The 12,219-nt window shown below is 40.5% G+C and overlaps 1 pseudogene across 1 annotated transcript in view; it reads left to right on the top strand.

Annotated features, from left to right (window-relative positions):
* CYP4Z2P (cytochrome P450 family 4 subfamily Z member 2, pseudogene) overlaps positions 1-11,781 on the top strand; it is a 57,381-nt pseudogene extending 45,600 nt beyond the window's left edge. The window contains exons 10-12 of the transcript NR_002788.2: positions 9,148-9,212; positions 10,262-10,344; positions 11,698-11,781. The product of NR_002788.2 is annotated as a cytochrome P450 family 4 subfamily Z member 2, pseudogene (transcript). The remainder of the gene's footprint in view (positions 1-9,147; positions 9,213-10,261; positions 10,345-11,697) is intronic.
* Positions 11,782-12,219: the final 438 nt, after the last annotated feature.

Raw genomic sequence — 12,219 nt, 5'->3', positions numbered from 1 at the left:
TAACCCAAATTAGGTCTTTACCTCAGTCAGTTAGCTAGCTGGTCATAACAGGATTGGTGAACTTCAAAATTAGTCTTCATAATGTTAAAAGCCACAGTTCATCATGAACATAAGACAGCTATGAATACCTATATATCAAGTTACACATCTGTAATTTTTTTTTTTTTTTAGATGGAGTCTCGCTCTGTCACCCAGGCTGGAGTGCAATGGTGCAATCTCTGCTCCCTGCAAACTCCACCTCCCAGGTTCAAGCGATTCTCCTGTCTCCACCTCCCGAGTAGCTGGGACTACAGGCGCGTGCCACCATGCCTGGCTAGTTTTTTGTATTTTTAGTAGAGACAGGGTTTCACCATGTTAGCCACGATGGTCTTGATCTCCTGACCTCATGATCCATCTGCCTTGGCCTTTCAAAGTGCTGGGATTACAGGCGTGCCACCACACCTGGCCCTGCAATTTTTTAAAGCAAACTATAGGAAATGAAAAGGAAAACAGACAGAGGCACCCTACTAATAGATTTTAACTGCCTTTCAAAGACGTACACAAATCAAAGTACACAGACTATCTAAACAATATAATTAATAAGATAGACTTTATGCGTACAATATTAAACTTTTTCCCCACTAATAGAGAACTTTCCTTTTAAGTACACCAGCAACATTCCTTAAAGTTGACGGTATACTAGACCACAATTTAAAAAGTTACTAAAAGAGAAACATTACAAAATAGCATTCTTTAAATGAAGACAATAAAAATGGAAATTAGCAACAAAAATTTTTCAAAAAGTTTCATTCATCTGGAGTTTTTTGTTTTATCCATTAAAAACTCTTGGGCTAAAGCAAAATTACAAAATCAAATCATGACCCTGAAAACTCTACATATGAGAATTAATGGTCTGCCACTAAAGCAGCATTCAGAAGAGAAGCTATAATAGTAAATGCGAAATATTTTTATTAATAAAAGAATTAAATTAAACACTGATGTCGAAAACAACTGGAAATAAATCAGTTGGGGAAAGAATAAAAGAGTAAACTAAAAGGAAACAGGTGAATTAACAAAGGCGAAAGCAAAAGGTAATGGTATGGAAAGCAGAACGGTTGCAAAACTAGTCAAAAAACACAATAGCCAGTGGGGGAGGGGCTGGTCAACAAAGAGACACACCACGAACTAATATTACACAAGTGTATGCACAGAGACTTGAAAAACCAGGAAAAAAACTAGATAATTGTATAATACATAATTTACTAAAATTGATACTGGTAGAGATAAATAGTCTAAGCATGCCAATTTTCACAGGACTAGAGAAAAATTGTAGAGCCCCTGAAAAGGAACCAGGCCCATGCAGTTTTTCAGAAACTTTTTCAAACCTTTAAAGACCAAATAATCCCAGTAATAAGTTGTCCAGAGCATAGAAAAATAAAAACTTAGAAAGTTATTTAAGGAAGTATCACACTGATAACAAACCTACTAAAAATTGCACAAAAGTATCTTTAGATAAAAATCACTAATGTATATAAATACAAAAATTTTAAATAAAATATTAGTAAACATAATCCAATAGCTCATCAAAATAAATATATTGGCTGGGCAGGTGACTCATGCCTGTAATCCAAACACTTTGTGAGGCCAAGGTGGGAGGATTGCTTGAGTCTGGGCAACACAACAAGACCCCATCTCTACAAAAAGACAAAATAAAATAGTGTATCATGGCCAAGTAAGTAGGTCATATTCCAAAACTGCAAAGATTGTTCAATATTAGGAATCCATTAATATAATTTATTATATGTATAGATTTCATGAGAAACCCATATCATCTCCACCCTGATCAATGGATATTCCATAACATGATAAACTATTACTTCAGTGCCATATTGGCACTATATCCCATATTGTTCTATGGCTCCAAAGTATAATAAAATCTCCCAAGTAGCTGACTAGAAAAGGTAAAACAAAAACAAAACCTAAAATATAATACTCTCACTCTCTGCTTAAATTTCTTGGTGATCCATATTGGTTTAAACCTAAAATCCTTAGCATGACCTCTTTGCCATTTTAGGGTACAAGCCCAGCCAACCTCCCCAGGCTCAACTAAGGACACTTTGCTCCCTGAATCCTGTTATACAACCACCCAGTCACCCAAATTTGTAATGCTTTCTCAAGTATTAAAGCTTGGCTTCATGCTTTTTTATCTGCCTCAAATTCCTTTCTGAATCTTGTTTTCCTTTTTTTTTTTTTTTTTTTTTTTGCTTTTTTTAAATTAACTTTAAGTTCTAGAGTACATGTGCAAAACGTGCAGGTTAGTTACATATGTATACATGTGCCATGTTGTGCTGCACCCATTAACTCGTCATTTAACATTAGGTATATCTCCTAATGCTATCCCTCCCCGCTGCCCCCACCCCACAACAGGCCCCAGGGTGTGATGTTCCCCATCCTGTGTCCAAGTGGTCTCATTGTTCAATTCCCACAACGAGTGAGAACATGCGGTGTCTGGTTTTCTGTCCTTGCGATAGTTTGCTGAGAATGATGGCTTCCAGCTTCATCCATGTCCCTACAAAGGACATGAACTCATCCTTTTTTATGGCTGCATAGTATTCTATGGTGTATATGTGCCACATTTTCTTAATCCAGTCTATCATTGTTGGACATTTGGGTTGGTTCCAAGTCTTTGCTATTGTGAATAGTGCCACAGTAAACATGCATGTGCATGTGTCTTTATAGCAGCATGATTTATAATCCTTTGGGTATATACCCAGTAAGGGGATGGATGGGTCAAATGGTATTTCTAGTTCTAGATCCTTGAGGAATCGCCACACTGTCTTCCACAACGGTTGAACTAGTTTACAGTCCCACCAACAGTGTAAAAGTGTTCCTATTTCTCCACCTCCTCTCCAGCACCTGTTGTTTCCTGACTTTTTAATGATCGCCATTCTAACTGGTGTGAGATGGTATCTCATTGTGGTTTTGATTTGCATTTCTCTGATGGCCAGTGACGATGAGCATTTTTTCATGTGTCTGTTGGCTGCATAAATGTCTTCTTTTGAGAAGTGTCTGTTCATATCCTTCACCCACTTTTTGATGGGGTTGTTTGATTTTTTATTATAAATTTGTTTAAGTTCTTTGTAGATTCTGGATACTAGCCCTTTGTCAGATGAGTAGATTGCACAAATTTTCTCCCATTCTGTAGGTTGCCTGTTCACTCTGATGGTAGTTTCTTTTGCTGTGCAGAAGCTCTTTAGTTTAATTAGATCCCATTTGTCAATTTTGGCTTGTGTTGCCATTGCTTTTGGTGTTTTAGTCATGAAGTCCTTGCCCATGCCTATGTCTTGAATGGTATTGCCTAGGTTTTCTTCTAGGGTTTTTATGGTTTCAGGTCTAACATTTGAGTCTTTAATCCATCTTGAAATAATTTTTGTATAAGGTGTAAGGAAGGGATCCAGTTTCAGCTTTCTACATGTGGCTAGCCAGTTTTCCCAGCACCATTTATTAAATAGGGAATGCTTTCCCTATTTCTTGTTTTTGTCAGGATCAGATGGTTGTAGATGTATGGTATTATTTCTGAGGGCTCTGTTCTGTTCCATTGGTCTATATCTCTGTTTTGGTACCAGTACCATGCTGTTTTGGTTACTGTAGCCTTGTAGTATAGTTTGAAGTCAGGTAGCATGATGCCTCCAGCTTTGTTCTTTTTTTTTTTTTTTTTTTTTTTGAGACACATTCTTGCACTGTCGCCCAGGCTGGAGTGCAGTGGCATGATCTTGGCTCACTGCAAGCTCCTCCTCCTGGGTTCACCACATTCTCCTGCCTCAGCCTCCCAAGTAGCTGGGACTACAGGTGCCCACCACCACACCTGGCTAATTTTTTGTATTTTTAGTAGAGACAGGGCTTCTCTGTGTTAGCCAGGATGGTCTCGATCTCCTGATGTCGTGATCCACCCACCTCAGCCTCCCAAAGTGCTGGGATTACAGGCATGAGCCACTGCACCTGGCCAGCTTTGTTCTTTTTGCTTGGGATTGTCTTGGCAATGTAGGCTCTTTTTTGGTTCCATATGAAATTTAAAGTAGTTCTTTCCAATTCTGTGAAGAAAGTCATTGGTAGCTTGATGGGGATGGCATTGAATCTATAAATTACCTTGGGCAGTATGGCCATTTTCACGATATTGATTCTTCCTACTCATGAGCATGGAATGTTCTTCCATTTGTTTGTGTGTTCTTTTATTTCGTTGAGCAATGGTTTGTAGTTCTCCTTGAAGAGGTCCTTCACATCCCTTGTAAGTTGGATTCCTAGGTATTTTATTCTCTCTGAAGCAATTTTGAATGGGAGTTCACTCATGATTTGGCTCTCTGTTTGTCTGTTATTGGTGTATAAGAATGCTTGTGATTTTTGCACATTGATTTTTTATCCTGAGACTTTGCTGCAGTTGCTTATTAGCTTAAGGAGATTTTGGGCGGAGATGATGGGGTTTTCTAAATATACAATCATGTCATCTGCAAACAGGGACAATTTGACTTCCTCTTTTCCTAATTGAATACCCTTTATTTCTTTCTCCTGCCTGATTTCCCTGGCCAGAACTTCCAACACTATGTTGAATAGGGGTGGTAAGAGAGGGCATCCCTCTGTCTTGTGCCAGTTTTCAAAGGGAATGCTTCCAGTTTTTGCCCATTCAGTATGATATTGGCTGTGGGTTTGTCATAAATAGCTCTTATTATTTTGAGATACATCCCATCAATACCGAATTTATTGAGAGTTTTTAGCATGAAGCGCTGTTGAAATTTGTTGAAGGCCTTTTCTGCATCTATTGAGATAATCCTGTGGTTTTTGTCTTTGGTTCTGTTTATATGATGGATTACATTTATTGATTTACATATGTTGAACAAGCCTTGCATCCAAGGGATGAAGCCCACTTGATCATGGTGGATAAGCTTTTTGATGTGCTGCTGGATTCCATTTGCCAGTATTTTATTGAGGATTTTTGCATCGATATTCATCAGGGATATTGGTCTAAAATTCTCCTTTTTTGTTGTGTCTCTGCCAGTCTTTGGTATCAGGATGATGCTGGCCTCATAAAATGAGTTAGGGAGGATTCTCTCTTTTTCTATTGATCGGAATAGTTTCAGAAGGAATGGTACCAGCTCCTCTTTGTACCTCTGGTAGCATTCGGCTGTGAATCCGTCTGGTCCTGGACTTTCTTTGGTTGGTCGGCTATTAATTATTGTCTCAATTTCAGAGCCTGTTATTGGTCTATTCAGGGATTCAACTTCTTTTATTCTTGGGAGGGTGTATGTGTCCAGGAATTTATCAATTTCTTCTACATTTTCAAGTTTATTTGCGTAGAGGTGTTTATAGTATTCTCTGATGGTAGTTTGTATTTCTGTGGGATCGGTGGTGATAACCCCTTTATCATTTTTTATTGGACCTATTTGATTATTCTCTCTTTTCTTCTTTGCTAGTCTTGCTAGTCGTCTATCAGTTTTGTTGATCTTTTCAAAAAACCAGCTCTGGGATTCATTGATTTTTTGAAGGGTTTTTTGTGTCTCTGTCTCCTTCAGTTCTGCTCTGATCTTAGTTACTTCTTGCCTTCTGCTGGCTTTTGAATGTGTTTGCTCTTGCTTCTCTAGTTCTTTTAATTGTGATGTTACGGTGTCAATTTTAGATCTTTGCTGCTTTCTCTTGTGGGCATTTAGTGCTATAAATTTTCCTCTACACACTGCTTTAAATGTGTACCAGAGATTCTGGTATGTTGTGTCTTTGTTCTCATTGGTTTCAAACAACATCTTTATTTCTGCCTTCATTTTGTTATGTACCCAGTAGTCGTTCAGCAGCAGGTTGTTCAGTTTCCATGCAGTTGAGTGGTTTTGAGTGAGTTTCTTAATCCTGAGTTCTAGTTTGATTGCACTGTGGTCTGAGAGACAGTTTGTTATAATTTCTGTTCTTTTACATTTGCTGAGTAGTGCTTTACTTCCAACCATGTGTTCAATCTTGGAATAAGTGCGATGTGGTGCTGAGAAGAATGTATATTCTGTTGATTTGGAGTGGAGAGTTCTGTAGATATCTATTAGGTCCGCTTGGTGCAGAGCTGAGTTCAATTCCTGGATATCCTTGTTAACTTTCTGTTTCATCGATCTGTCTAATGTTGACAGTGGGATGTTAAACTCTCCCATTATTATTGTGTGGGAGTCTAAGTCTCTTTGTAGGTCTCTAAGGACTTGCTTTATGAATCTGGGTCCTCCTGTATTGGGTGCATAAATATTTAGGATAGTTACCTCTTCTTGTTGCATTGATCCCTCTATCATTATGTAATGACCTTCTTTGTCTCTTCTGATCTTTGTTGGTTTAAAGTCTGTTTTTTCAGAGACTAGGATTGCAACCCCTGCTTTTTTTCGTTTTCCATTTGCTTGGTAGATCTTTCTCCATCCCTTTATTTTGAGCCTATGTGTGTCTCTGCACATGAGATGGGTCTCCTGAATACAGCACAGTGATGAGTCTTGACTCTTTATCCAATTTGCCAGTCTGTGTCTTTTAATTGGAGCATTTAGCCAATTTCCATCTAAGGTTAATATTATTATGTGTGAATTTGATCCTGTCATGATGATGTTAGCTGGTTATTTTGCTCGTTAGTTTATGCAGTTTCTTCCTAGCATCAATGTTTTTTACAATGTGGCATGTTTTTGCAGTGGCCTTTCCATGTTTAGTGCTTCCTTCAGGAGCTCTTGTAAGGCAGGCCTGGTGGTGATAAAATCTCTCATTATTTGCTTGTCTGTAAACGATTTTATTTCTCCTTCACTTATGAAGCTTAGTTTGGCTGGATATGAAATTCTGTACCCTAAAAATTAAAGTATAATTAAAAAAAGAAGAAAATTATTTTCTTTAAGAATGTTAAATATTGGGTCCCCACTCTCTCCTGGCTTGTAGGGTTTCTGCCAAGAGATCCACTGTTAGTCTGATGGGCTTCCCTTTGTGGGTAACCCGACTTTTCTCTCTGGCTGCCTTTAACAATTTTTCCTTCATTTCAACTTTGGTGAATCTGACAATTATTTGTCTTGGGGTTGCTCTTCTCAATGAGTATCTTTGTTGCGTTCTCTGTATTTTTTGAATTTGAATGTTGGCCTGCCTTGCTAGGTTGGGGAAGTTCTCCTGGATAATATCCTGCAGAGTGTTTTCCAACTTGGTTCCATTCTCCCCATCACTTTCAGGTACACCAATCAGACGTAGATTTGGTCTTTTCACATAGTCCCATATTTCTTGGAGGCTTTGTTCATTTCTTTTTACTCATTTTTCTCTAAACTTCTCTTCTTGCTTCATTTCATTCATTTGATCTTCAATCACTGATACCCTTTCTTCCAGTTGATCAAATCAGCTACTGAAACTTGTGCATGCATCACGTAGTTCTCGTGCTATGGTTTTCAGCTCCATCAGGTCATTTAAGGTCTTCTCTATGCTGTTTATTCTAGTTAGCCATTCATCTAATCTTTTTTCAAGATTTTTAGCTTCTTTGCGATGGGTTCGAACATCCTCCTTTAGCTCGGAGAAGTTTGTTATTACCAATCATCTGAAGCCTTCTTCTCTCAACTCATCAAAGTCATTCTCTGTCCAGCTTTGTTCCATTGCTGGCGAGGAGCTGCATTCCTTTGGAGGAGAAGAGGCATTCTGATTTTTAGAATTTTCAGCTTTTCTGCTCTGGTTTCTCCCCATCTTTGTGGTTTTATCTACCTTTGGTCTTTGATGATGGTGATGTACAGATGAGGTTTTGGTATGGATGTCCTTTCTGTTTGTTAGTTTTCCTTCTAACAGTCAGGACCCTCAGCTGCAGGTCTGTTGGTGTTTGCTGGAGGTCCACTCCAGACCCTGTTTGCCTGGCTATCAACAGCGGAGGTTGCAGAACAGCGAATATTGCAGAAGGGCAAATATTGCAGAACAGCAAATACTGCAGTACAACAAATGCTGTCTGATCAATCCTCTGGAAGCTTCATCTCAGAGGGGCACCTGGCCATATGAGGTGTCAGTCAGCCCCTACTGGGAGGTGCCTCCCAGTTAGGCTACTTGGGGGTCAGAGACCCACTTGAGGAGGCAGTCTGTCCGTTCTCAGATCTCAAACTCCATGCTGGGAGAACCACTGCTCTCTTCAAAGCTGTCAGACAGGGACATTTAAGTCTGCAGAAGTTTCTGCTACCTTTTGTTCAGCTATGCCCTGCCCCCAGAGGTGGAGTCTACAGAGGCAGGCAGGCCTCCTTGAGCTGCGGTGGGCTCCACCCAGTTTGAGCTTCCTGGATGCTTTGTTTACCTACTGAAGCCTCAGCAATGGCGAACACCCCTCCCCCAGCCTGCCTGCTGCCTTGCAGTTCAATCTCAGGCTGCTGTGCTAGCAGTGAGCGAGGCTTCGTGGGCGTGGGACCCTCTGAGCCAGGTGCGGGATATAATCTCCTCGTGTGCCGTTTGCTAAGACTGTTAGAAAAGTGCAGTATTAGGGTGGGAGTGACCCGATTTTCCAGGTGCTGTCTGTCATGGCTTCCCTTGGCTAGGAAAGGGAATTCCCTGACCCCTTGCACTTCCCGGGTGAGGCGATGCCTCGCCCTGCTTCAGTTCACCTTCCGTGGGCTGCCCTCTCTGTCCTGCACCCACTGTCCGACAAGCCCCCAGAGAGATGAACCTGGTACCTCAGTTGGAAATGCAGAAATCACCGGTCTTCTGCGTCACTCATGCTGGGAGCTGTAACTGGAGCTGTTCCTATTTGGCCATCTTGGAACCTCCCCCAGGGTCTCCTTCAAATCTTCTTTTCTTTACCTGGTTTTCCCCAACTGATTTCATGATACTCAGCTCAGCATGCCTCTCCTGGGCCTTTTCTCCTGCATACATCCAAAGGCTCTATACATGAGGTTCCCCCCACTCAATTCCCCAAGCATCCCAGGCTTCCTTCTGACTTATTACCATGTGTTGCAATTGCTTGTCTCTTCCAATGGACTGTGAGCTCCTTCAAGGCTAGAATAGATCTCACTGATCTCCACAGCACCCATTTAAGTGTCATCATAATAGATGCTTCTTAAATGGTTGAGGATATTATGATTGTAGAATTCTTTCCTTGGTTATGAAATCTATGAATAGATGTGAAGGAATCTTTGCTCATGCACTTATCTGCTTTTTATTCTGTTTACTCAGGAATAACTGTGTTTATCAATATTTGGGCTCTTCACCACAACCCCTATTTCTGGGAAAACCCTCAGGTATGATTGTCCCAACTGCACCCAGTGGCATCTAAGATAGCACCAAGAGGGAAAAGAAGCATCTTCACAGTTGAGGGGGCAGTTAGGATAACCATCCGTCATTTAGAAAAGAACAAAACAGAACAAAATCCCTATGCTTTTAAGAGAAAAATACATTTGCATTTATAATCATCACCAGTGTTCCATGACGATGCCTTGTCAAGAGAAGCATACCATCCCCTGGGAAGTAGAGGGGTGTGATTAGTCAACTGACACTGCACTGTTTAACCACCTTGCTCTCTGCTTTTGTTCATGTCTGTAGTCAATCTAGTCACAGACTTGTGAAGTGTATTGCAAATCACTTGTTACTGGTCATAATTAAAGTAGCAAGATTATGAACTCTTTGCTTTTTTTAAGATTTGAGCATATTTGAAGTTAGTCTCTAGGAATATCACTCTCCTTCACACTCAGTACTAACCTGAGAGTGAAAGGGAGAGGGGGCCTGGGAGAGAACAAGCACACTCCTGGGCTGCAAACCAGCGCTCAGACCAACCCCACAGCCCAGGAGATACTAATCGGCAGCCTCTCACAGAGACGCTCGGGCAGAAGCTGAACAACTTCAGCTTGTGACTTCAGCTTGTGAATTGCCACCCCTTTCTTCTTTGCCCAAGTCACTGGCTCAGTCCATTTGGAAACCAAGACAAATAGAAAAGATAATAATTTGATTATTTGCCCGTTTTTATATGACAGAGGCACGTGTTTACTGTGAAGGGAAAATAATGAAGTCACTATTTGCTCAAGTCAGATTGTCTGGATGATTTGGGGCTGCTTCTTACTATCGGGGCCTGTTTAATCTATCACTAGGTTATATAGCCTCTGCTTTCTTGGGATATATTTTCAGTGGTAGGCTTTTGGGGAACATCAAGCAGGACTTGTAGTATCCAGATATTGTAAGTTCCTAAAGTTAGCTTTGGAATTCTGTTAACAATATCTAGGGTTTTGTTTTTGTTTTTGCTTTTTGTGGGGGTGGGCTGGAGGGATTAGGACTGGGATCTTCACTCTCATTACAGGTCTTTAACCCCTTGAGATTCTCCAGGGAAAGTTCTGAAAAAATGCATCCCTATGCCTTCATACCATTCTCAGCTGGATTAAGGTAAAGACTCAAGCTGGTGAACTTGATGGAAATGTGTAATAGTGCTTACCTGACAAGTGCTTCTTCCCTTCAGGCCTTCAGTTAGCTGACACTGCTGTTGCTCCCCATCATTTTACCTGACTTGTCTTCTCTTGTGACCAGTGCACTCAGATGGTACCCTTTTGAGCCCCCAAAGGGACTGGTTAATGTTACAAAGAACAACTCTGGTCCTTGGCATATGGGCGTGAATTGATGAAGGCCATCCTCATGACAGGCCCAAAGACTACACTTAAACTTGCAATGGACAAGCGTTGGGAATGCCACCTTGTTATAGGAACAAGGCAACATTGGCACCTCCAGCTCTTGTTCCTACAGAGAGCAATGTTGTTCTGAAGTCCAAGTTTCCCTTTGGTTTGGTATGAGAGACACCCGATTTACCAAATGACAACACAATCCACTGAGTATGCCAGGTTATTGTTCTTATGCCTAAGGCTTCAACTGCACAGCCTCTAAATAATAGTAAGAAGTAGCTTTTCCTTATCATGATATAAGGAAGGTTTTCAAGTTACGTGGACCCTGCAGAATCAAATGTTGATAGAACTCACTACCACTTACTTGTAAGATGGGCCCAAAAATAATAGAGACACAGTTTGCAGGTCTTGACATTAATGGACTTTCTGATCGGGGCTTACTTAACTTAAAATAAGACATTTGCTGGATTCTGCCACATTGGAATTTGTTTAAAACATGGATCTTGGCTGGGAGTGGTGGCTCTTACCTGTAATCCCAGCACTTTGGGAGGCCAAGGTAGGCAGATTACTTGAGATCAGGAGTTCGAGACCAGCCTGGCCAACATGGTAAAACCCTGTCTCTACCAAAAATACAAAAATATTAGCTGGGCATCATGGCACGACCCTGTAATCCAGCATGGATGACAGAAAAAAAAATGGATCTTGTTTTCCTACAAAAGTTGTCATATATAAAAAGACTGGCTTATGTTCCTAACCATATATAAATTCATGAGATGCCATTTTTTCTTTCTGGGTATCCCCAGGAACTGCATTGGGCAGCATTTTGCCATAATTGGGTGTAAAGTGGCAGTGGCATTAACTCTGCTCTGCTTCGAGCTGGCTCCAGACTACTCAAGGCCTCCCCAGCCTGTTCGTCAAATGCTCCTCAAGTCCAAGAATGGAATCCATGTGTTTGCAAAAAAAGTTTGCTAATTTTAAGTCCTTTCATATAAGAATTAATGAGATAATTTTCCTACCAAAGGAAGAATGGAAGGATAAATATAATACAAAATATATCTATATGGTTGTTTAACAAATTATATAACTTTGGATACTTCTGACTGGTTTTAACATCCATTAACAGTAATTCTAATTTCCTTGCTGGATCTGGTGAAACCCACAGAAACACCTGAAAAAACTCAAGCTGACTTCCACTGCGAAGGGAAATTATTGGCTCGTGTAACTAGTGGTAGAGTGGCTTTCAAGCATAGTTTGATCAAGGCTCCAGTCAATATCTGCATTACTTTTATCTCTGCAAATATCTGCATGATAGCTTTATTCTCAGTTATCTTTCCCACAATAAAAAATATCTGCCACCTTCTGAGTCCCATAGACTCTCATTATACCCTGTAGAGAATGGATAAATTGATGACAGTGTATTAGAAAGCCTAGACACTTAAGAGGAATTCTGAATACAGAAAAGCCTCATATATTAATTCCCATTTGGAATATTTAGAGGACACCATACCATAGGGAACTCTTGCTCAACATGGAGTAATGTAGCTAGGAAATATTTTAGCAGAGAGGGGGTCCAGATAGAACAACCTAATCCCCCATGCTGGTGTGTGCATTAACAGAGATACAGAAATTCCCATATATCTGCGGT

This window comes from Homo sapiens, chromosome 1 (assembly GCF_000001405.40).
Source record: "Homo sapiens chromosome 1, GRCh38.p14 Primary Assembly".
In the NCBI taxonomy this organism is placed as follows: Eukaryota; Metazoa; Chordata; class Mammalia; order Primates; family Hominidae; genus Homo; species Homo sapiens.
The sequence above is the reverse complement of the archived record's forward strand: the minus strand, read 5'-3'. Positions and strand labels throughout refer to the sequence as shown.